The 24,536-nt window shown below is 48.9% G+C and overlaps 13 annotated features.

The window, feature by feature from the left end:
• Positions 2,223-2,282: an enhancer, noted in NCBI's record as "active region_23812". NCBI's record gives its function as "activates an Ori minimal core promoter by ATAC-STARR-seq in GM12878 lymphoblastoid cells {active_cell/tissue: GM12878}" and the evidence as "EXISTENCE:reporter gene assay evidence [ECO:0000049][PMID:35858748]".
• Positions 2,293-2,412: an enhancer, noted in NCBI's record as "active region_23811". NCBI's record gives its function as "activates an Ori minimal core promoter by ATAC-STARR-seq in GM12878 lymphoblastoid cells {active_cell/tissue: GM12878}" and the evidence as "EXISTENCE:reporter gene assay evidence [ECO:0000049][PMID:35858748]".
• Positions 2,423-2,552: an enhancer, noted in NCBI's record as "active region_23810". NCBI's record gives its function as "activates an Ori minimal core promoter by ATAC-STARR-seq in GM12878 lymphoblastoid cells {active_cell/tissue: GM12878}" and the evidence as "EXISTENCE:reporter gene assay evidence [ECO:0000049][PMID:35858748]".
• Positions 3,113-3,172: an enhancer, noted in NCBI's record as "active region_23809". NCBI's record gives its function as "activates an Ori minimal core promoter by ATAC-STARR-seq in GM12878 lymphoblastoid cells {active_cell/tissue: GM12878}" and the evidence as "EXISTENCE:reporter gene assay evidence [ECO:0000049][PMID:35858748]".
• Positions 4,468-4,517: an enhancer, noted in NCBI's record as "active region_23808". NCBI's record gives its function as "activates an Ori minimal core promoter by ATAC-STARR-seq in GM12878 lymphoblastoid cells {active_cell/tissue: GM12878}" and the evidence as "EXISTENCE:reporter gene assay evidence [ECO:0000049][PMID:35858748]".
• Positions 4,578-4,737: an enhancer, noted in NCBI's record as "active region_23807". NCBI's record gives its function as "activates an Ori minimal core promoter by ATAC-STARR-seq in GM12878 lymphoblastoid cells {active_cell/tissue: GM12878}" and the evidence as "EXISTENCE:reporter gene assay evidence [ECO:0000049][PMID:35858748]".
• Positions 9,293-9,372: an enhancer, noted in NCBI's record as "active region_23806". NCBI's record gives its function as "activates an Ori minimal core promoter by ATAC-STARR-seq in GM12878 lymphoblastoid cells {active_cell/tissue: GM12878}" and the evidence as "EXISTENCE:reporter gene assay evidence [ECO:0000049][PMID:35858748]".
• Positions 11,184-11,233: an enhancer, noted in NCBI's record as "active region_23805". NCBI's record gives its function as "activates an Ori minimal core promoter by ATAC-STARR-seq in GM12878 lymphoblastoid cells {active_cell/tissue: GM12878}" and the evidence as "EXISTENCE:reporter gene assay evidence [ECO:0000049][PMID:35858748]".
• Positions 12,054-12,103: an enhancer, noted in NCBI's record as "active region_23804". NCBI's record gives its function as "activates an Ori minimal core promoter by ATAC-STARR-seq in GM12878 lymphoblastoid cells {active_cell/tissue: GM12878}" and the evidence as "EXISTENCE:reporter gene assay evidence [ECO:0000049][PMID:35858748]".
• Positions 12,974-13,213: an enhancer, noted in NCBI's record as "active region_23803". NCBI's record gives its function as "activates an Ori minimal core promoter by ATAC-STARR-seq in GM12878 lymphoblastoid cells {active_cell/tissue: GM12878}" and the evidence as "EXISTENCE:reporter gene assay evidence [ECO:0000049][PMID:35858748]".
• Positions 14,286-14,445: an enhancer, noted in NCBI's record as "active region_23802". NCBI's record gives its function as "activates an Ori minimal core promoter by ATAC-STARR-seq in GM12878 lymphoblastoid cells {active_cell/tissue: GM12878}" and the evidence as "EXISTENCE:reporter gene assay evidence [ECO:0000049][PMID:35858748]".
• Positions 19,901-20,100: an enhancer, noted in NCBI's record as "active region_23801". NCBI's record gives its function as "activates an Ori minimal core promoter by ATAC-STARR-seq in GM12878 lymphoblastoid cells {active_cell/tissue: GM12878}" and the evidence as "EXISTENCE:reporter gene assay evidence [ECO:0000049][PMID:35858748]".
• Positions 20,912-20,961: an enhancer, noted in NCBI's record as "active region_23800". NCBI's record gives its function as "activates an Ori minimal core promoter by ATAC-STARR-seq in GM12878 lymphoblastoid cells {active_cell/tissue: GM12878}" and the evidence as "EXISTENCE:reporter gene assay evidence [ECO:0000049][PMID:35858748]".

The raw sequence follows: 24,536 nt of genomic DNA, 5'->3' as shown, positions 1-24,536 counted from the left end.
TCTATCTATCTATCTATCAACATTAATTGCATCATTAACAAGGCCAAAAAAATGAGGGGTGGGTGGGGGGCTGAGCCCTCGTATCAACAAATAGAAGAGACTGGATCGAGGTTTTGCAGCTATTAAATAGAATAAAGTGATATGAACTAAATATGCAGGTGGAAGGTTCTGCAAGTCATGTTATTAAATGAAAAAGCGTGATTCAATATCATATACATACATGCAAACATATAGACATGTGTGCACATATGTATGTATATATTTTTCTGTATTTGTATATATTACATATGTATATTTATAGTTTTATTTGGGCATCACATTGAAGGATTTGCTTTACCTCTGGATACTGGAAATAGGTTAAGGGGACAGGGTTTGAAGTGAATGAAGTTTGTCTGGATTTCCTTCTAAATCTGCACGAAGCACAAAGACTGACGTGTCAGCTTGAGGCTCCAAGGGGACAGAGTTTGAAGTGAATGAAGTTTGTCTGAAGTTCCTTCTAAATCTACACGAAGCACAAGGACTGACATGTCAGCTCGAGGCTCCAAGGGGACAGAGTTTGAAGTGAATGAAGTTTGTCTGAAGTTCCTTCTAAATGTGCACGAAGCACAAGGACTGACGTGTCAGCTCGAGGCTCCAGGGTTTGCTGCTTGGGAAGGTGGGTCCTGCTGGGCTGTGGGAAGTCCACAGGTTTCAGTTCACATGATTCGAAGCACACATTACTATAAGGGTCAGCTCTTATAGGATACCAGTTCGGGGAGTTTCAATTTGACTTAGGAGAGGGTCTAAATCTGAAGAACAAAGCCAAATAACACACACCCAGGTGAGTTTCATTGTCAAAACCATTGAAACTGGCTGAGACCCACACACCCCCACCCACTGCCTGGCTGAGCCCGGCTCCACTTTTAGACATTGCGGGGAGGGGTGCAATCCCGCCACTTAGTCCTGCCCTCCCGCCAGCCCAGGCATAGTGGAAGGAAGGCGGTCAATCTGGGCTTTCTAGAACGATGCTGAGACTCCCTGACTCTGCCGAGCACTTGTGTAATGACTGCACGCGTTGAGGACTGAGAGAAGTTACTCCTTTGACAAAATTGCATTTCCAGGAGTACATTATTTAACTTTGTTCTGGCCCCTGTCAATCTCCAAAGAAAGTACTTCTCTTCATTCTAGAAAGATGAGGAACATTTTTCCCAAGAGCAAATGAAGGCTTAGACAAAGCATGTGGTATAAGTCACTTCTGGGTGGAAAATGGATTGCCTTTGTTTTATATTGACCTATCAAATGATAAAAAAAAAACACACACACACACACACCAAAAAACCAATGTTTTTTTTTTTTTAATATAAAATTTGCTTGCTTCAAAAAGATTGAAAACTGCCAGTCGCGGTGGCTCACGCTTGTAATCCCAGCACTTTGGGAGGCCGAGGAGAGTGGATCACCTGAGGTCAGGAGTTGGAGACCAGCCTGACCAATGTAGTGAAACCCCATCTCTACTCAAAATGCAAAAATTAGCCAGGCGTGGTGGTGGGCGCCTGTAGTCCCAGCTACTCAGGAGGCTGAGACAGGAGAATTGCTTGAACCCAGGAGGCGGAGGTTGCAGTGAGCCAAGATTGTGCCACTGCACTCCAGAGCAAGACCCTGTCTCAAAAAAACAAAAAGTTTTGAAAACTACTAAGCTACTACAGCATATAATGAAGTCATGATAAATGAACATGAATCTGACATAGGGTTTAGTTGTAAAGTACATTCCATCTTAAAAAGTACCTACACGCTAGGACCTGGTGTTCCTGCCTGATTTAAATCTTTCTTTCTTGTTTCCTTTGCTCCTCATTCCCACCATTGCCTGTTTCTTCCTTCCCTCCCTCCCTCCTCGTGCTCTGATGCCTCTCTGTTGTTTTAGAACACATTCTACAACCTCGCAGTGTCAAAGGCTCACCAGCCATTCCCACCACCATCCTGCGGGGCAGCCTGATTATGTTCAGGGAACAATACAGTCGCTCTGAGGAATGGCCCAAACAGAGGCACCCACACACTCCCCTTGCCAGGGGAGAATGCCAGGAGAGACCCTGTCATCCAGTAGGATGTCTGCTGGGGCTGCCCAGAAATATTTCCCCCCCATAAGGGAGAGAGGTGCAAGAGCAGAAAGTCCTTCTCTTGCGAACCTGGAACCCCGTTGTGAAAACACATGGTGCTTTCCCAGGCAGCTGCCGCCTATGTCCATGTTAAACAGTGACTGCTCGGTAGACAGCCCAACTCTCTAGGGATGACAGAACAGAAATAACCTGGTTCTCAGTGGCCTGAGTGGCCGAAATACCTTGGGACCAGCTATCTCTGGACTTAAGTAAACTAGAAATGTCCTTGTGCTTTAAGCCAGGTTTTTGTTACTTGTAAGCAAAATATCACTTTAATCGAATGGAGAAAAGGACTGTATTGAGAAGAAAAGTTACAATTATGTCATGATAATTATGATTACAGAAGCCTGTCGAATGCTGTTTACACCAAAGATCGAATGACAGCCATGCTCCAGGGAGCTGGTGAGAATTTCCCTGAGGAGGACAGCGAGCACCGGCCTTGCAGAAAAAGCCCCACGTTAGGCAACGAGGGATGAGGCCAGTGGATGGCAGGCTTCGCATGAAATGCTAAGGAGCTGTGGTTTTTGTCTCTAGAGAACAGAGGCATGTGCCTGTGTGAGCAAGACCGCTCACACTCACGACACCCACACTCCTCCTGTGTGATGAGGACTCATGCTGGCCTTTGTCTCCATCTTCTGGGAGAGGCTCTCTAAAGCCTTACAATTTCCCAAGTGATGGGAGTGTCTCTGCTATTCATGGTGGGCCCTGATAATTTATGCTAACAGGTCACTCACGGTGGGGGCCTGCGTGGTTTCAGGACGGGTGACGGTCTTACAGGAAAGACCCACGTGTCACCAGAGGATCAGGGCTCTGAGCCTGACCTCTAGGGAAGGGAGGTGGCTGGAGATGAAGTTCAACCATCAGGCCAGTGATTCAATCAATCACGAGTATGTCATGAAACCCAAGTGGAAGCTCTGGCCCCAAAGCTTGGTGGAGCTTCCAGGTGGTGAACGCATGGATGTAGTGGGAGGGTGACCGGTCTTGAGCACATGGAAGCTCTGCCTTCCAGGCCCTCCTGGACTGTGTCCTGCTGTCTCTTCCTTTGGCTGGTCCTGAGCTGTGTCCTTTGTAATAACACTGTCATCATACATGTAGCACTTTCCGGAGTTCTGAGAGTCATTCTGGTGAATTATTGACTCTGAAGGGGTCAGGGGAACCCCTGACTTGGTCAGAAGTGCAGGTGGCCTGGGGACCCTGGAGTTTGCAGCTGGCATCTGAAGTGAGAGCATTCTTGCTGGGGATGGTGCCCTTCACCTAAAACTTTTGGCCCCAACTCAGGGCCTCAGTGTCAGAAGTCCCTGCCCTCACCTTCCATGAAAAGTCTGCATGGCCCAGGCCAGAGCTTCGGAGGCCCTGGGTCTCCAGACCCAGGAAATGGAGGGGCTTCGCTTCACCCCCAGTCCACAGACTAACTACTCTGTGAAGAATGCTAACCTTTGGTCACAAGGGAGCTGAGGATTGGGGGTGATGAGATCTGAGAAAATGGGGAGAGCTAAATCATCCTGAGTGCGGCGGCTCATTGATACTGTTGTGGTGCCTTACACAGCCAGACTGCAAATGTTCTGGCCTAAATCCACTCTTTCAGAGTAAATAGTAACACAGGCAAATAGAATCATAGCTACCATCGACTGAACTATAATGGGAAAGATGCCAAGTGAGATTTATTTTTGTTTTGCTTTTTACCTAGTGTTCCTAATGTCCTTTTCTACCAGTGACGCGCAGCTTGGTAAAGGCCTGAGTCTGGCATCTCGCTGTGAAGCGGCCCCAGGTGTCCCCAGCTCTGTCTGTTGGCTCTGCCCCACAAGCTCGCGCCCGAAGCCACAGAGACACAGGGTGGGTGGGGGTGGAAAAGTGACGCCCAGGAATCGCTGGGGCTTTGCAATGTGGATGGTAGGAGGGTGGGTTGCGCCATGTGCTCCCCCCGCCTCCCTCACCAGGTTGGTCTGTTGCGAGGCACTTTCCCCAGTTGGCTCTGTCCAGGCCCCAGGCCGCCAGCATGGTGGGGAGCCCCTCTCTCGGCCTTGCCGTGGCTGCAGTGTGGACACACGTGCGTATTCAATCACTCTCTGCTGCCCCTAGACTCTGATAAGAAGCTGGGCGTTCAGGGTGAAGGCGTGGAATGATGAGCAGCACACAGACGGCATTTTGCTGAGCATCAGCAGGCGCTCCTCCGTCGGTTGCTTTTGCATAATAAATGTGGGGAAGATTTTTCAACCCCGTTTTCCTATGAGAAAGCTGAGCTCAAAGGCTGAGCTGCTTTGCTGAGGTCACTCAGAAACTCAGAAACTCACAAAGCAGGGGTGAGACCTCTGCTCGACAGCAAAGGCAGGCAGCGTCCCTCATCCCTGCACCACGAGGGCGTCACAGCCCCTTCCCGGGTGGCCACAGCCACAGGGCACCCTGCGCCCTCTCCGGGCCTCGCCTTCCTCTTCTGAAACAGGACGGTGATCTCATCCCCCTCACAGGCTGATGCAGAGACCTAAGGAGCACACTGGCTGTACACGGAGGAAAGCACCTCGGTTTCCTGAAGCAGTGTGGCATTCGAGTCTGATTTCCAGCAACTCCACTGCCCCCGCAGCCAGACTTTGCATGAGCAGAGTTCGCAAACCTTCTAGAATCTGGCGAGGAACAGAGGAAATCAGCTAAAGGGCGTAACAGGAAGTGGGGCCTGGACCGGGAACCTGGTTCCTCCGCTCTTTCCCTATAGGTACAGAAGGAACAGGCCCAGGAATGAGTAAGAATGTTTTTCTCTACAAATAACTCACACCCAAGCCTCAAGCAGGGTTAGGGAGTGAGGCATTGTGTCATCACCTACCACAGGAAGCCCAGAGCCAGGGCAGACTCCAGACACGGCACGCAGGGTTGTGACTCTACACACCTGGCGCCTGGGGCACTGGTGTCTTCCAGGCAGCTCTGCCAGGTGTCACATCTGGACAAGACAGAGAGGTACTATCTTCCCCTTAGGAGTGATGAACTCCTTTCCAGAAGCTTCCTGCAGGCTTCTCCTCATGCCTCACGTCTAGAATAGAGTGATCTGCATGTTCCAAGAACAGTCACTGGTTGGAGAGTTGGTATCACCGTGACTGGGTGAGCCTGATGGCTCTAAACTCTGGCTGTACATCAGAAGCACACACTGAGCTTCTGAAAAGGAGAGGCCTGGGCCCCACTTCCAGAGATTCAGTTCAATGGATCTCCTGTAGTACCTGAGCATCAGAACTTCGTAGCCCCCGAAGGTGCATGCTACGGCCAGAAAGAAACTCAGGGAAAAATGGATGTTGCAGAGACGTCGCCACAAATGAAACCCACAGCGACAGGAGAAAGCGGCTCGCGTCCCGTTGAAGAAGATGCTTCCCTGGATTACTGTGCAGAGTTGAAGCTTTACCTTTCACCTGGAGAACGCGTGGTTCTGTGACCAAAACAGTGGCAGCTCCTCCACCAGCCCCTGCTGCTCCCATCCCTTCCAGGGAAGAAACTTTTGTTTCTGTGATGCCAGCGCAGGCATTCAGAGCAAAGCCACTTCCAGGAAATTCTAAGAATGAGGTGCGGGCACCACTGGGCTGGCGCATGAGAGTCATGTGCCTCAGACTCCACGCCCCCTGCTGACCGTGCCCACAGGCTCCCAGGTTATCTGTGGCGGAGGTCAGGGTCTGCTGGGCAGGGTCAGGGATGTCTGGTTGGGCTGAAGCAGATGCAGGGGTCCTGCGGTCACCACTGCCTCCGATGAAGCTCTGAATGGTCTTCTCTGTTCTTCCATACGGTCATGTGCCACACAACAACATTTCCAACCACAGACAGCGTATACTATGGTTGTCCTGTAAGAGTATAAGGGAGCTGAAAAATTCCTATCATGTGATGACATTGTAGCCACCTCAACGTCTTAGCACAATTATATATATATACACACACACATATATATACTTTATATGTAGAGAGAGAGAGTGTGGCCTACGTGTGCAGTGTTTATAAAGTCTGCAGTAGTCATAGTGATGTCCTAGGTCTTCACATTCACTCCCGACTCACCCACTGACTCACAAGAGCAGCTGCCAGTCCTGCAAGCTCCACTCATGGTAAGTGCCTTGCACAGGTACTGTTGTTCATCTTTCGTATTGTTCTTTCACGGCACCTTTTCTCTGTTTAGATACACACACGCCACTGTGTCATAATTGCCGACAGCACTCAGCGCAGTGACATGCAGGTCTCAGCCTGGCACGACAGGCTGTCTCATATCGCCAGGTGTAAAGCAGCTCATAGCACGCGGGTGTGTGGAAGTTCACTCTGCGATGCTCACACAACAGCAAATTGCCTGAGGACCCATTTCTCAGAAGGTATCCTTGTCCTTAAGCAACACATGACTGACATTTGTAAAAGGGGCAAGAGACAGCTTGTGCTTCTCAGAAAAGGTGCCCATTTTCAACTGGTTTAGGAAATTTAGAAAGAGGGAGGAGGAGTATTAAAGTGGCTAAGAGTGTTTCTTTCCAGTTGGTTGATTCTGCACCTCACACACCTAAGGAGTCTGGGAAACATCCTGGGTAGCAGTGGTGGAGAGTGGTCGTAATTTACATTGAAATGGGGATCACCACTGCATATACAGATGGCCTTGCTAGGTGCTGAGGAAGCTCTGATGCCCCCGCGAGGATCAAACATGAGTCGTGGAGACAGGACATGGTGACATGTAGGAGAACACAGTTGAATGCCAGGTAAGCCCCACGTGGGCCTCATGGGTTCAGAGGCTTTTTTCAGAATTACTTCCAGTAGAACGGTTGCCCGTCACAGGGAGCATATCCAAGAGGGCGTGTGTGTGAAGCTGGAAAAGTGGCTTGTACTGGGAATGGGGTGTCTCATATCTCTATAGAGAGACCGCAGGGAGCTGAGGACTGAAGGAGAGGTTAGAGCAGCTCAGGCTCAAGCCCTCTTCCCCAGAATCACCAGGAACTTGCCAGGGAGGCTTTTGTTGCTGTTGTTGCAAAATCCAATTGCAATTACAACAATAAGTGAGGAATTAAACTACAAGTATGAATAGCATGGGCAGCTTAATTCTTAATAAGAAAGCCTAAGGTGCTTTCAACTAAACCACTTTCTGAAGTTTTTTTTTTACCAAAAATAAATTATATCCCAAAATTTATAAGAAAAGGTACAAGATAAAAAAGTGCCCCCTTTTAGAGCTAAAGTTGTCAAGCTGCAGATATTTGATTGATTTGTCCGTGAGAGGGTGGGAGGGAAGAAGCCTCCTTATGTGAAGCCGTCTCAGAATTTCTACTCCCAGACCCACATGCGGATGTGGAAAGCCAAACATGTGATTTCAGGCAAATACATTAAAGAGTAAGAGATAGAAAAGTATGTAATTGGATGTATCATTATGATATTTTCCACTGTCAGCAAAAGGAAAAAGATATTGATTGTTCACACGCGCAAAGAGAATCTCACAAACACACTCTTCCTGCAGCCAATGTCCATTTAATCATTGTGATAATGCAGCTACCTAGATTTTTACTCTCCACAGATCCATTAGGTTTAAAAGCTCTTAAAACTTTGATTCTCTACTGAAAAATGGAATGCTTTCTTTCTGGCCATTATAAAATATACTTTGCAGTAGTTTGTGCTGATTCCAACCGTCCATCTTTACAGTTGTTAAATCAGGTTTAGACTAAGCTGCCTCCTTACATATTTTAAGTTTAGCCTGAAGGTTTTTCGGTATATCATGAACTATAACAAGCGGAGGTGTAAATGAACTGTATACTGCTCTTGCGCCAATCACTCAGTTTGGGCCAATAAAACGCAGCCAACTGTTTGAATCATGTTCAAATAACGCAAACGATGTTCAAATACCACAAACGCCGAGCTGTACCCCATCCAGCTGTTTCTGCACCTCACTTCCATTTTCTATACGTCACTTTCCTTTTTCTATCCATAAATCTTCCTCCATGTGGCTGCGCTGGAGTCTCTGAGCCTACTCTGGCTCAGAAGGCTGGCTGATTCATGAATCGTTCATTGATCAATTAAAGTCCCTTTCATTTAATTTGGCTGAAGTTTTTCTTTTATCTCACTTGCATTTTTTTCTTTTGAGACAAAGAAAAACAATTATTAACAAGCCAGAATAGAAGTTTCGCATTGTCAAAGTGCATGTGCAGTCCATTCATTTTTTCTTGTTATTGTTAGTCATCTTATAAATACAGAACCACAAACTTCACTTCCTTTCGTAGAATATACCTCTTTCGGCTCTGGGAATTACAAACCCTTTACAATTTTACCAGTTTCGGAAAAAAACCAATAGGTTTCTTATCAGAAACTGTGTTCTCTCCCCAGATGCCACTCTTTGCATTTAAATAACTGAAATTGAGGACTTTGATACCACAAACATCAAAGCTCTCTGTTGACTGCAGGGTCCACTCTCAAATGCACCTTAATCCCATTTGAGCACCCCAATTCTTAAAGGCAGGGTATTGTGGTTTCTGAATTCACCATGGCTGTCTTTTTATGGAAGTTCACAGACAGGAGTAATCTTTGAATAGCAGTAATCTAGAGGTGGCGACATATGACTTCTTCATGTCTTTGGCAACTTTGTTTAATTTTTTTAAAGTTGCTAGTCTCTTTTTCTTAATGAACGGTCCTTGTTTCATGTTCGTGGCCATTTTCATGGTCAGCCGTCTGGGCAAGCTGCTTTTTCTCTTCTTGTGGTATCACTCCTCCTCTCCTTACTGCTCAGCTGTAGTTTCACACAACGAGCTAAGTGGAGCTCGTGGGGTCACTTACAGGAAACAAGGAGCATGACTCGCACCCATGAAGTTAGAAATGGCACACGGGGAGGGGAGATAGAGCAGATCCGTGCACAGCACTCATGTGTAAAATATGCCTGCACCACTGTCTGCTTTGCGTTTGAGTTCAAAACAAAAGGCTTCCGTGAAATATAATAAGCTATATATATTTTTCAGAGTGACAAGAATTGTCTCGCTTCCCTTCAGTTCCCAGACTTCTCCAAAGTTAGTCTAATGTCATGACATTGCCTGGGGAGGCCAGAGGCTGGCCTCAGAGACGAGAAAGCAGGTAGCTTGGCTTGGGCTTGTTTCTTAAGGGTCTAGGTGCCTACAGCGTAGAAATTCAGCATTTGCAGAGCACCGAGGTGAGGGGCTGGGGGACGGCAGAGCCTAGGACTTGCAATAATGCAAACTCAAGACTGCTGATTCAAGTCAAGCAGGCTAGAGAAGGGGAAGGCTGAATTTCTTCAGCAACTGGAACTGAGCTACGTGCATTCAGTTTCTCTCAACACATTCTGCTCTGAATCAAACTGTATTTTAAACTTCAACACATTCTGCTCTGAATCAAACTATATTTAAAACTATTTTAAACTATATATTAAAGCCGTTTTAAACTATATTTTAAAACTTACGTTAAAGTTCCTGGGTGTGATTATAATATTGTGGTTTTGTAGGAGAATGTCCTTGTTGTTAGGAAACATCCAGAAATTTTTAAATATGGCCTGTGCAACTTACTTTCAAGTGGTTTCTAAAACAAAGAGAGAGGGGCAGAGAGAGTGCAAATACGGCCAATGTTAATAATTCATCAATCTACAGTGAAGGTCAAACAGCGGTTCTTTGTACTATTCTTTTATCTTTTTTGTGAGTTTGAAATATTTAAAAAAATTGGGGAAAATACTTAGGAATAACTGTAACAAAAATACAGGACCTATATGAATCAATGTACAATATAATATTTAAGGATATAAAATGCAACCCAAATTCATGAAAAGATTATATATGATTAGAGAAGTGCAGATATGTGAGATAATTTTTTCTGGTGTTCATATTTTTAAAATCTCACACACTTTTATATATTAGGACATTAAATTGTAGCAAAGAAAATACAGACCATTTACTCATTCATTCTGCCTCTCTCCGTTTGCTCAATGAACGCTGACTCATCACTCGGGCTCACACAGCGGCTCAGCCCCTGGCCCCGGCTCCAGTTCCCCATTCTGTGTGGGCAGGACAGAAGCGGGAAGCGGGAAGCGAGCGGGGGTGCAGGCGGGGGGACATGAATCGGAACAACCGTGGCTGTCAAAGATGCCGGTGCATCCATCTCACTACTCCAGGCTAAGAAGGGACAGACTCAGAAGCTGGGGAGAGGGTTGTGAGGGCCGTGACTCTGGAGATAACCATATCTGCAGGGCTGCTCGGGGTCCACACAGGAGCTCCTCACTTCCTGCTGGTGCTGTGCTGCACTGTTCCCAAAGTGATGGAGCAAGAGAATTTGGCCTGGTCCTACTGTGTGCTGTTGCTGTGTGACCCTAGGCATGTTGCTTCACGTCTCTGGGGCTCAGTCTCCACCTGCAAAATGAGGTGGGTAGGACCAACTACCTCTCCAAGGTGCCTCCAGCGCTGGTGTTCTATGATGGGCTGCCCTGTTTCTTCCAGTCTGGTCATTTCTTGCAGATTAAACCTGCTGGGATATAACTGGGTGCTACGGTGGGGATATTAAGCCCCTTCAATGCTAAGTGTTGATGTCACACATTAACTATATCTGAAGCCAACAGATCAGTACCAAATTTTGGGCCCACCCTGCCAAGGAGAAGCCGTGGCCTCTCCAGGCCCTTTGCAGCTCCTCCCTCCAGCATGCAAGCTGGTGCTGGAGGGGCCCTTTCCCTCAGGAGATCCGGTGCCCCTGCCTGGGAGCCCACACACCTACTGTGCATGGTGGGATCTAGAAGTCCCTGCACAGCTCCCTTGGCTCCAGCTCTGCTTCTGTGATGTGAATTCCAGCCTTAATTAGACAGCAGGAGCCTTTCGTACCCATTTCTGCTCTTTCTCCAAAGTACAGGTGGCTGGGCAACAGCTATGTGGAGAGATTTTTTTTCAGGTCTTTGCTCTGTTCCTCTTTTCAGAAGGGAGAAAAAACAGTGGGGGGAAAAGATGTTTTCTCACTTAATAGAAGCTGGTGAGAGGCAGTCTATTAGTAAGGAATTTGGGGCTTTTTAGATTTGAATTTTGGGTCATTCTTCCTTCTGATCATGTCAATTGGTGAGTTCATTTCTTCTGCGAAAACAGATTAGCCTTCGAGCTTCCTGAGAACTGAGACAACGAGGTCCCCTCCATCTTTGAGTCAGCCTGGCCTCGGGGACAGAGGATGGATTTTGGAGTCGGACAAGCCCCGGCTGAGGCTCCCTTCAGGTGTTCACTTGGGCAACAACACGGTGGCTGTGGGATGACTTGGCTTGTGCGGGACTCTGAGTAGCACGGCCCAGCCGTGACCTCTTGCTGTCCCTCCAGTCCACAGGGACCTGAATGCAGGTGGTCACCAGCCTCCTCTGGAGCATATCACTTCCAGTAGTTGGTATCTGCATTAATAGCCCTTGGGAGGACAGGGGCCCTGAGGGGGGTTTCCTGTAACCAAAGAGGTAATGTAATATGGTGGAGTTCCTAAGGGATTCAAGATTAGGCTAATCCTGCCCTTCAAACATTTCCCCTGAAACCTCTCAGTCATGACCTTCCAAGACGAGAAGCTTCACGGCAGGCAATGAACAGAGACGGCGTCATCTCCAAGGCTCAGTGGAGCGAGTCACGTCACCCTCACTTAGCTGCATGGGTAAGTAAGCCCAGGCCTAGGGAGCTAGCGAGGGGCGGGGCCTGAATTTGAACTCCAGCGGGCTGGCTGCAGGCCCTGCTGCCTCAGGACCCCCACCACAGGGAAGCTCACAGCCTCTCAGCATCTAGCCCAACCAGGCCAGTCAAGAGGTTGGCAAATTCTAAAAACCCCCGATCACCAGCTGGTCTGGTCCCTCAGGCCTGGCTGTTCTCAGTCTGCCCCCTGGCTGTCCCCGGGGCCTCCCCAGCAGGGCCTCCAAAGGCACCCCTCCCACGCTTCACACCTGCCTGGGGTGCCTCTTTTCTCCTTGAATTTAACTACATCCAACATCTCCTGAGCTGTTTGTGTGTGCTGGGCAGTGCACTAGGCTCTACAAAGATAAGTTAGAAACAGTCCCTGTGGCAGGGAACTCACAACTTAGTCTTGGAGAACACAATCTTGAACCCAGAGAAAGCATGGCAAATGTCTGCAAACACATTCAGGGGGTCCGAGGGACTGACGAGGTAAGCACAGCCCGTGGGTTCCATGCTTCAGAGCCTGGGGAGCACTGCCGCTGTGGAGGCGTCTGCACCACACGCTCGACATTTCATTCCAACCCTCACAACCGTCCTCCAAGAGAGCCATTATCGCTCCCACTTTTTGCAGATGAGAAAATCAAATTACAGCCTGGTGACTTTGACCATGGCCATGCAGCTAGCCATGGGCAGTGCCAAATTTCAAATACATGTTCATCTGGATCCATGTCAGCCTGATTCCCACCATTCCAGATCCTCCCCTCAGTGCAGCCCAACCCTCTTTCAGAGCTGACGTCTCTGTAACCACCCAGCTCCTAAGTGGAGGGTTCAGGTTCAGGCTCAGGTGCCCCGTCCCCAAGCCTGCTCTTAGACCTGGCACAGAGCTGTTTAAGAGTAACTGGCCAAGGCTCTGGTGAATGTGAGCCTCTGGGAGGTCCTGAAGAGGACAAATGAAGGGTGTTTATGTGGAAAGGAAGGAGAGAACTTCATGGGCTGCGGTGAGGACAGGAAGACTCAGGCTTGCCTGGGAAACAGCATCTGGCCCACGTGGCTGGGAGAAGACGTGGGGTAGGTTAGAGGCATTCTGTGGATGAGCCCTACCTGTTCAGGGGAAGGGCGTGACCAGAGCGGTGAAGGGCATGTAGGTGGAGGGAGGCTGGCGCCCAGGCAGGCGCCATCAGCACAGGCCATTGGCCGAGCCCCCTGGTGGTGGTGGGAGGGATGGGAAGGATGGTTGCTGGTAGCAGAGCTCGAACAAGGATGAAACCACAGGGTGGAACCAAGGGACCTTCCAAAGACAGGATCTACATCATTCAACAACTACCTGGACATGGAGAGCACAGCTGAAGGGAGAACCCCAGATGACGGGAGTTTTCCAGTTTGGGTGTTGGAGAAAATGGTGCAGACACGGACTAAAACAGAGAAGTCAGAAGACGGCCTGGTTAGGATAAGACAAGACAAGTTTGATTTTCAGGTTTTGCCAAGAGCCAGAGGAATAGCTAGGCGAAGACATTGTCAAACTACGCGGATAATGAGTCTATCTCAGGGAAAAAAAGTACCAAAAATATATAAATATATATGTAATATATATCTATATAAAATATACATTTAAGCATATAGCATGTCTGAAAGTATTTTAAAATGTAGAGCTCAGGAAACAGAACAGAGACTTCTGGGGCATCCATACAAGGTAGTTGAAGCCGGCAGCATGAAGACGCCCCCAGGGCAGTGGCTCTCAGACTTTTACGTGCTTCAGAATGACCAGGGAGGCCCAGCACAGTTCCCCAGCAGTAGAACATATTTAATAAGCACAGTTTCCTTCCCTAGCAGGTAACATTTGCATAGAGTCTTCAGATCTTAATCTAAAGAAATGAGCTGGCTGGGCGTGGTGGCTTATGACTATAATCCCAACACTTTGGGAGGCCGAGACAGGCAGATCACCTGAGGTCAGGAGTTCAAGACCAGCCTGGTCAACATGGTGAAACCCCGTCTCTACTAAAAATACAAAATTAGTCGGGCATGGTGGCGGGCACCTCTAATCCCAGCTACTTGCAAGGCTGAGGCAGGAGAATCGCTTCAACCCCGGAGGCAGAGGTTGCAGTGAGCCAAGATCACGCCACTGCACTCCAGCCTGGGCGACAAGAGCGAGACTCTGTCTCAAAAAAAAAGAAAAGAAATGAGCTATACAGGAGTTTCAGAAAATATGGACTGTATTTTAGTAGTTGTTGCTTGTTTGTTTTAAATAAACAGACATTAGCTGCCTTTCAAATCATACCAGATGGGCCCTTATTTAATCTATTAACTACGATATTGATCCTAACACTACATTATGTGGGCTGAGAGCTGTTCATTCTCCATTGTCCAGCTGTTAAGAATGGGGACTTGGGAGCCACAAGTTTGGGTTTGCACGTTAGCTGCTACCTAGAAACTGTGGTCTCGGGCCATTTACCCAGTGGCACTCCGGGCTCCTCCTGCAGAGCGAGGGTATAATAAGTGCACACACTTCACAGGGCTCTCGTGATGATGAAATAACACCTTGGCACCTAGTAGTTGCCTGACACCTAGTACACGTTTAACAACTGTTGGTTGTGATCTTTATCATGGGTTAGCTCTTGGGGAGGGGGACTCGTTGTACAGAGAAGCAGCAGGAAGAGGTGCCGGTGAGTCAGAAGGTCGTCATGGTTCCTTGAGTCAGTACAGGAGCAGCCTGCCAGCCTGTGCCACAGCAGAAGCTCATAGTGAGATCTAAGCTGGCTGCCACAGGCTGGCAAGCAAAGGTGCCTTTCACACCTTCTGGCTACTTGACCAAGTTTGCACTTTGGGGAATTGCAATGATTGCTGGGAGGATCCTTCTTTCATGGCAGCCCGCCAGTAAACCAGGCACTGGTCATCACTTCTTATTCCCACTGTTGGCCAAGATTGGTCTTGGCAGAGGGGACACTGCATGCTCTTCCTGATGCTACAACAATCTCCCGAGACCAGTGGTCTGCCAAACCTGCCACTGCAGACTAAAAAACTGAGAAGTCAAGCGAACAGCCAGGCTTCTTTCTGATCTACATAATTTAAATAACTGCCTGGGCTGACCTGTGTCCCCTTGTTTGGCCAATCAGTTGTTTTCCTAATTTGACTAATTGTTCATCTTCTCCGGCAGCGCATACCATGAGTCTTGACCATCACCCGTGGCTTCATAAAAACTGACCTTTATTCAGTGAGACCTTCCTGAGTGTCCGTGCTGCGTTTAACTCTTTGAAACATAATCTCATTTAGTCCTCACAGCATCACCCAGGAGGGAGATACTATCTTCATTCCCGTTTTGCAGGTGAGCAAACTGACACTTGGACCAGTGGGGTCCTTTTCCCAAGGCCACGTTGCTACTGGTGTATGTGTTTGGAGGTGGCTTGAGGACTTAAAATTATTGAAGATGGTTTGGATCTCTCTCCTGAGCACTTTAAGAGATGTTGGGGCCACAGAGGTGAATCAGTCCACCTGAGACCCCATCCCTAGGCCTGCAGTGGGTCTTCGCATGTCTTCTGGCAGTTCCTATCCCGTGTCCTGGCCCTGGCTGCCAGCCTTCCCCCATATTGCCATGGTGCCCAGTAGGCCTTGTTCCTCACCTTTCCCTTTGTTCCTTCGGCACAGCTCAAATTAAGTCCGCATGATTAATGCACCTCTTCAGGCTGGAGGGCATCATGCGAGGATTGCAGTGTGAAAAGAGGATGTCAACCCTCACTACTCCATGAGTCCCACTGCCCAGTCCTTCCATGGACCTTCCTATTCACCTTCTCCCTTCTTGGCCCCTAGCCAACCTTCCTCAAGACTGAGTCCCTCTCCACCTCTCTCCCCAGAGTCCCCCTCAGCACAGGTGAGCTGAGGACAATGAGGATGGCCAAGAGGCCGGTGCATCTGAGGCACTTGCACGTGGGCTGCTCTGCCACTGAGGACTTCCATGAGGACTCTGGAGGAAACCTGTTGATTTGACTTATTTTGCTAGATGATGTTGAAACAGGAGAGTTCCCTGAGACCCCTTGCAGGACAAGCAAAAGCGGTGTGGCTTGTCTGTTCATGCGGCACCTGCTCAAAAGCCTTATGGGAGGGGGAGCACGCAGATGGGCTGGTGCAAGAGCTGGGGTGAACACCCCTGGGCTCCAGTCCCATGGAAGCATCCAGGAGTGTGTGCCTGAGGCTCCTGAAGCCCAAGTGGGCGTGTGTTACAGTGCACTCTTTTAGCTTTGCCATCCACAGACGGCTTAAGTGTTAACCAGCTCAGTGCCCCCTTAATACCCAGGTCCTTGTCCCATGTCCAGGAAGAATCAGGTCACACACGGACTTGAAGGATGAATGCAGGGATTTTATTGGGTGGTAGAGGCGGCTTTCACTGGGATGGATGGGGAGCTGGAAGGAGGAGGGAGTGGGAAGATTATCTTACCCTGGAATTTGGCCATCATCGGCTGATCTCCTCTCTTACTATCCCCAGTCGAACACCCCTCGACATTCAGATGCCCCTTGTCTTCTTTCTGCTGAGCCATTCTGCTGATCTTCTGCTCTTCAGTTCATCTCCTTGACTGCTAGTGGAACTTGTGGGTTGGGGTTTATATGGGTACAGGATGGGGGCCATGGTGGGCCAGAAGGCAACTTTTGGGCATGAAAACGAGAATGCTCATTCTCGTGTAAGGCTGCAGGTTTCCAGGTTTGAGGCTGGGGCCTTTGCCAGGGAACCGCCCGCTTCTACCCAGTATTTCCCTGTCTTCTGTCTATATCTGTTTATGACAGTCTACTTGGTCAGAATAAAGTGAATCCAGAAGAAACAAATATAATTGGCCTGTAAGTGCTATTATTGCTAAGTTACTCTGAAATAATGTGTGAGAAAACTAAAAAGACTCTGACAAGTAGGAAGTGTGTGCAAGGTGTGTGCAGGACGGGAGTGAGAGAGGGCTTTGCTCATCTGATGCCTGTGTGGAAGTGTGTGCAAGGCGTGTGCAGGACGGGAGTGAGAGAGGGCTTTGCTCATCTGATGCCTGAGCATAAGATGCCATATTCTCTGTGAAGACACAAGCTCAGAGAGGCTAAGTAATGTGGGTACGACATGACAGAGACACAATTTTTTTCTTATATTCTTTTCCCCATAGGAAGCTGCTTCTCATGTTTGTAGATAGCTTAGTTCAAGCAGAGATTGGTGGGTGACATGAGATGAAACACTTGAGATTTTTAGGGGAAACATACTATGAAAACATTAAGTGTCATTATTAAATGAATTTGCAATCCTCTCCACACATATTGTTCTTTTGAGAAAATTGTGGGGCTGGATGCGATGGCTCAAGCCTGTAATCTCAGCACTTTGGGAGGCCAAGGTGGGTGGATCACCCGAGGTCAGGAGTTCAAGATCAGCTTGGCCAACATGGTGAAACCCCATCTCTACTAAAAATACAAAAAATTAGCCAAGCGTGGTAGCAGGCGCCTGTAATCCCAGCTACCTACCTGGGAGGCTGAGGCAGGAGAATCACTTGAACCTGGGAGGCAGAGGTTGCAGTGAGCCAAGATCGCGCCATTGCACTCCAGCCTGGGCAACAAGAGTGAAACTGTCTCAAAAAAAAAATTGTGGTAAAATACACGACATAAAATTTACCATTTTAACCATTTTTATCAATTCGGTGGCATTAATTACATTCACCTGATTGTGTAGCCATCGCCACCATCCATCTCTGGAATGTTTTCCTCTTCCCACACTGAAACTCTGTCCCCATGAAGTACCGACTCCCCACTCCCCAATCCACCCAGCCCCTGGAAATCTTCAGTTTTCTTTCTGTCTCTCTGGATTTGAGTCCTCTAGGAACCTCATATAGAAATGATACAGTGTTTGCTCTTTGGTGACTGGTTTATTTCACTGAGCAAATGTCCTCCAGGTTCATCGACGTGTAAGGATGTCCCCATCCTGAAGGCTGAATGATGGCCGTTGTGTGCACAGACCACGTAATGTTGATCCATTCGTCTGTTGGTGGGTGCTCGGCTGCTTCCGCCTCTCGGCTATTGTGAACAGAGCTGCCGTGAAGACAGGAGTGCAAGTATCTCTCTGAGACTGTGCTTCCCATTCTTTGTGTGATGCCCAGAAGTGGAACTGCTGGACCCTACAGTCATTCTGTTTCCTTTTTTGAGGAACTGCCATACTCTTCACCACAGTGGCTGCACCATTTTACATTATCTTATTCACCCATTCTTTAAATCACTGTTTTTTGGAAGGCAGAAAACTGTAGCTCACTGGGAAACCAGCCACATCATTGGTGCTCAGAGCATTGAAGGTCTGTCTCTTGGGAACCCAGAGATTTAGGGAGTCCCAGCTCTCTGTCCAGCCACACAGACAATGAGTGCTGCCTGCCTAGAGCTGCCCGAATGGGGAGGGGCATGTAGCTTGGCACGAAGATGGACTCCTGTGCCAAAAACAGCCGCACACAAAGCCCTCTGGTGTGAAATGGTATTGGAGTTAGTTATGCAGGAGAATGTCCTTGTTTGGGAAGTATGTGCAGAAGTGTTTAGGGGTAAAGCAGCGGCACTGCCATGCAGGAGAGGCAGCACAGGACCCTCCTGTTGGAGTGCTGCCCCCCAGCCCCCTGCCCACTAACAGGGTTCCTGAAGAGCTAAGAGCCTTTCGATCTGCTAGACTGTCTGGCGAGGGTTTCCCTGACTATTCTCCACGGGGAGTTCACCCAGCTGGAAACAATAACTGCCCCTGCACCCGATTCCTGAACCCCCCCGCACCCCACTGTAGTCTGCAAAACTCCCATCACCTGAACAACAGACCAGAGGAGGAAAGATTCACAGCACTCCACTGACCAGCTAATACTTACTGAACACCAGGGACGCTGAGAACTGGGGCAGAAGGAGGCTCCAAGGGCTTCCCCTTCTAATCCCGGCATCATGAGTTCATTCACTGGTGCAACTCAGTAAACATTTCCTGGGCACCTACTCCAGAAATGAAAGGCATGGATGGGGCAGCCACCTAACAAGAGGCAAACACTATCGCCTGGTCTTTTTTTACTAATTAGAGCAGAACGCTTTTGTATCAAAATAACTGAATTATGAAACCAGCTGTGCAAAAATCCTAAGTGAGACACAAAGATTTTTCAGACTCATCAGTTGCTGTCACCATTCAAGAAAGCCATTGCCTTAGGGACCTTGCAGATTTCACCATGAAATAGGTAAATATGAACTCATCTCCACGTCTTTCCCACTGACGCAGTAGCCCGCGCTCCTGGCCCTAGAATGAAATACGACCCACGGATGCTGAGTGCCCCTGTCTGTGTACAGCCTGAGCGGAGCCACAAATACACTCTGTCTTCAGCAATCCATCTGAAATCAAGGAGAGAGGACCAAGATGTGGGAAATAATTAAACAAAGTGCAAAGAAAATAAACAGCAGGAGCAGCTTGGGCTAGCTGCGGGTGGTCATTCCAGAGGGCGTGCAGCCCTGGAGCTGGCAGAATGGGATTCAGAAGGATGGAGAAGGGCAGGAGGACTACACCATGGTGGAATGGCCAGGGCTGCTGAGGGGAGAGGGCCGCAGCTGAGGGAACAATGCCTTTGGCCTCCGCGTGGTGTGAAGGTGAGCATGGCCATGCAAGTGCTGCAACAGCAACAAATCCTGTGTCACTGCATTATTAAATAGTACTCATTTTCACTAACGGAGGAAAGAGGAACACACTGGTTAATTCCCTATGTTGTGTTCCAGGGAGCTGGGCACAGCTGGCATCATATCATCAGGAGACTCTCCACACATTCCAGGCACTTAGAGAAATGGGAAACGGCGCAGGGTGGGTGGAGAAAAGGAGAAACGAACATGTTCAAAGGATCCGCTCACTTTTCTATATCGCTAACAGGTCAAGCCATTTGTTTGAGCAGAGGCATTTTGGGGTCTATGATAAGCAGAGTGAGGGCCCGAGTTGAAGACAGTGGGAGACTGAGGGAGGAGAGGAAGGGCATCTTAAGGCAGGGGGCCCCCGGGCCAGGGCCCCCCAGGGAAAGCCTGGGCAGTGTGTGACTCGGCCTCTGAGCCGTCCACTGCGAGAGCCTCTCAGCTGAATCCTTGATATTTTGCAACACACGTAATATCATGGCCAATGGTCTGAGGGTGTGGGATTCACTCAAGCTGGGGGTGACTTCCACATTTGGGTGTGTGTAGAGGATGAGGACAGACTGGGAGCCAAGACCCCAGGAAGTCTGTCATGCAGGGAGCACAGGTGTGGGCACCTCGGCCCCTGAGGGTCCCTCCCGACATCTGGAGTATAAGGAACCCAGCATGAAACAAACCTCAGGAACCAGGGAGACCTTGGCCGCACTTGGGCCTTCAATACATGAATGTGGAAGAGCCTCGTACCATTCAATTATTACTCACATGAAGCAACTGCTGCGCTGTCGTTGCTGTTTTTGCTTGTACCTGTCCCGCCCCTCCCCCAGCAAAGTCAGTTAGAAGCAGACGCTGCTCAGTAACCAGTGGTACTTTCATTATTGATGGCTTGGTTTCATGCTATCTGTGATCTCCTTCCCTTTCTCTTTTTACTGATCTCACCGGTATTTGAAAATTGGTACACGATGTAGCTGACTACACCGTAGTCAATTTTTTGATTTCCCCATCCACCAAGAAACGCTCCCTTACGGGTCAAAAAGCAATTCCCCGGCTCTCTTCCCTTTTCCTGCGCACCGGCAGGCAGCCTTTCCTGCTGGTCCCAGTGCTTCTCGGAGGGCACCATCACGCGCCGCCCTGGCCTCGCCCACGCAGGGCTCTGGAACGGCCCTGTGGCTGAGGCCAAGGGCACCCCTCCAATGCCCACTGCCCTGCTGATATCCCCGACACCGCCCACCTCTCCACCTTCCACGCTGCTCCGCCCTCCTCCGCCACACACACTCCAAACCTGCAGTATTCTGAGAAACGCTGATTCACGTGTCAATGGGGGGTATAGGAAGAGAGATGAAGATAGTCAAGTTTCCATTCTCAAAATTCTCAAAATTCAAAGGAAAACACCATTGAGGTAGCTTATGATTATTGGCACCTTACAGACTGGGAAACTGAGGCTCCTTCTGCCAAGGACGAGGGGCAGGAGGAACCAAAGGTCTGCAGAGAAGACAGAAAGCTGCCAGCGCCTCTCCAGGGCCTTGATGGGGAGCTGGTGCTCGGCCCCAGCAGCCCTGGGGCAATCTCTAAAGCAGAGAAAGAGAGGTGCTTCATGAAGAGGTCTTGGGCTTTCTTTAGAATTCAGCCCTTCCCCTTTCTTCTTCCTAGGGGACTCCCAGCATAGTTTACCCTGGGAGCCCTGACTGTGTTGCAACGGGCTCAGGGTAGAGACCCGGTGACATGGAACCAGCCAGGCAGCAACCTATGCCTGCAAGTGAGTGTGGAGAAGAAGGAGGTGCAGGATCTGCCGCAAGGAGGGGCGCTCAGCATCAGTCTTGTGAAGTCATCAGTGTGCTCCGCTGTCCATGTAGCAGCAGTTACACCAGCCAAAGAGAGAAACAAAGTCAGGGCATGTGTACGTGCCCCGGTGCCCTTTTGGTTTCCGTTAGGCACCTTGCTCAATTTCCTGATAAACAAAACAGAGCCATCTGTGACTCTTCCAGCACACCTCCACTTTTAGGGAATTTTTAGGGATTTTAGGTCCCAGAGAGGAGAAACAGAACAGGGGAAGAAGTGCCCGATCGGTGTTAGGGGCCATGGTTCGAGGTCCTGCTTGTGTGACCTTCAGCAAGTTACCTTCCCTGTTTGCTTCCATTTCCACACCTGTGCAACAGGGCTGCGCTCTGTCTGAGAGACTAGAGGGTCACGTCGGATCATGAATAGCGTTTGGAACTGCTAAACACGCATTCAGTAATCTCATTTGTCAAGGATGGGAGCTCAGACCACAGGGCCTGTCTGAGACACAGCTGGGAAGTTTTTTTCTAGTTTCCCTTTTCTGAAAATCTGCTCCCACTCGGTGGTTTCTCCTGCCTACCACTGGCACCCAGCGTCTGGATATGTTGCCTACTGCACTGCCTACCAAGAACGCGTCAACGTTATCCCCATGTTGTGTGAGAGCAGGAAAAGAGGGTCTCCATCTTCGAGCTGAAGAGTCTTTCCCAGAGTGGATGTGCAGCCACCACCTGCCCAGGGGGTATTTTCCCAGAGCATCATTTCTACTCTACAAAGAATTTTAAATTTTGTGGGGTTTATTTTGTTTGTTTGTTTGTTTGTTTTTTGAGATGAAGTCTTGTTCTGTTGCCCAGGCTGGAGTGCAGTGGTGTGATCTCGGCTCACTGCAACCTCCGCCTACTGGGTTCAAGTGATTCTCCTGCCTCAGCCTCCCGAGTAGCTGGGATTAAAAGCATGGGCCATCAGGCCTGGCTAATTTTTGTATTTTCAGTAGAGACGGGGTTTCACCATGTTGCCCAGGCTGGTCTCGAACTCCTGGCCTCAGGTGATCTGCCTACCTTAGCCTCACAAAGTGCTGAGATTACAAGCATGAGCCACTGCACCTGGCCAAATTTTGTTTTTATATTTAAAAATACCTGGACATATGGCCAGGAGCAGTGGCTCATGCCTGTAATCCCAGCACTTTGGGATGCTGAGGCGGGTAGATCATTTGAGGTCAGGAGTTCAAGACCAGCCTGGGCAACATGGTGAAACCCCATCTCTACTGAAAATACAAAAATTAGCTGACTGTGATGGTGGGTGCCTGTAATCTCAGGTACTCAGGAGGCTGAGGCAGGAGAATCACTTAATCCGGGAGGTGGAGGTTGCAGTGAGCCAAAATCATGCCACTGCGTGATCTGTCCAGCCTGAGCGACAGAACAAAACTCTGTCTAAAAACAAAAACAAAAAACCTGGACATACCAGAAAATAAAATGCAGAGGTCATTAACATTTTTAGCTTTTCTTTTCTTTTTTTTTTTTAAGGAACCTTAAAGAAATGCTTGTGTTTAAGACAAACAGGCACTCCACATGATTCCCCTAAGCTCTGACGATGTTTATTTGGGTACAGCCTCCTCAGTTTATTTGCCTGGGGAGGAAACTAAGGCCCAGAGAAGTGAAGAGACTCTCCCTCCTCATGGCTCTGTCCTCTGCGAGGAAGAAGCATGGACGTTGCTGTCACTTTGTCTCCAACGCACCCTCAGTGCCTAGAACAGTGACTGGTACCACTCCCTGGCATCACTCACTAAGTGCAGGTTGAGTGTCCCTTATTTGAAATACTTGGAACCAGAAGTGTTTCAGATTTCAAATTTTTTTTGATTTTGGAATATTTGCAGAATTCATTCTGGCTGAGCATCCCTAATCTGATATCCAACATCCAAAACGCTCCAGTGAGTGCCTTCTTTAAGGGTCGTTTTGGTACTAAAACAGTTTTGGAGCATTTTGTATTTTTGGATTAGGGATGCTTAACCTGTATTTACTGAATAACTCAATTAATTTTAAGAGGCGAAAGGACCCATAAAGCCTCTGAGTTGCCTAGGAAGTGGCCACATTAACTCCAAGGATGAGGCGGACACCTTCTCGGGGCAGGATCGAACTGTTTCTGATCTTCAGCATCTGGCCCCATAAAATGAGAAGGGTTTTGCCTTGGGGTGAAACTGACCCTGGCATCTCCCTGGAGATGAAAAGCTCCTTATTTCCTAAAGATTCTTCTCAGAGCCAGAGGAAGTATGCTGAAATAGTCACAGTGATCATTTCTCATGAAGAGATATGAGTTTTACCCTCTTTTTAACTTTCTTCCTAATTTTTAAATAATAAGGTTGTATCACTCACAAAATAAGAATAACTTTATAGCACTCTGTATACATACATATATATGTGTATATATGTGTGTGTGTATGTATATATATATGTGTGTGTGTGTAAAGTCAGCAACAACAAGCCTTCCCCAAAGCGGCACACTGTCTGCATTTCTTCAGTGCCAACGTGAGGCACTTATGGGCATCCCCAGGGACTTGTGCGCCAGGCAGCTCCCATCGGCCCCGACGGCCAGTCCTGCCCACATGTGTGACATATATGGTGCTCCCAGACCTCCAAGGTTTGGTAAGAAAGAAAAACACTTGGACAACACACAGCCAGGCCGTGAACGTCACTTAGAAACGGGACCCATAAGAGCGACCTTCCCTGCTTCTCACGAGCCAGTGCATGCCCACACCAGTCCAGGCCTTTTCTTCTTCTACTGAGTGCTGCTTCCCGTCTCAGCTGATAGCACCACCACTCGTAGGTGAGTCCCTGTTCAACAGAACTCAGAGCTTTGCATCCATGGAGTGCCATGAACAAAAGTCACCGGTGTTTCTTAGGGAGAGAACTGCTTTTGCTCAGGGTCAGGATGCCCCACCTGCTTGGGGTGGGGAAGTTGAAGCTGGAGGAAGAGCTGGCTGCTCTGCAGAAGTTCAGAGGAATTGGAAGATGGGGCCAGGGAGGATGTGAGGAAGGGGAGGAAGGCAGAGACGGTGCAGGTGACTCAGCAGGAGGCTGGAGTCTAGAGGGAGAAGCTCCTTGACTGGGGTTGCTGAAGGGGTTTTAGAAATGAGGCTGTCAAAAAACATCACAGCTGCCTACTGCTTAATTTCTAGCTGACTCTGTGTTTCTAACCGTCTGTAGAGACTCCACACAGATAAAGCCCCTGTGCCACGGATTCTAGGGGGACGGGGCAAGAAGCCCAGTGCCAGGGTAGGAAGGAGGCCTTGGGAGGGGAGGCTGAAGAGTGAAAACTCAGGAGCAGATGCCGGGAGGCAGAAGTGACATCTGAACACACAGCCTCCGAGACAGTCCCTGGGTGGGAGACACTGAGGTTTCTGTTGTGCGCTGGATACGGCTTAAGCCTAATT

The sequence above is a fragment of the Homo sapiens genome, chromosome 6 (genome assembly GCF_000001405.40).
Source record: "Homo sapiens chromosome 6, GRCh38.p14 Primary Assembly".
NCBI classification, from domain to species: Eukaryota; Metazoa; Chordata; class Mammalia; order Primates; family Hominidae; genus Homo; species Homo sapiens.
Note: the sequence above shows the minus strand (reverse complement) of the source record. Positions and strands in the feature narration are given on the sequence as shown.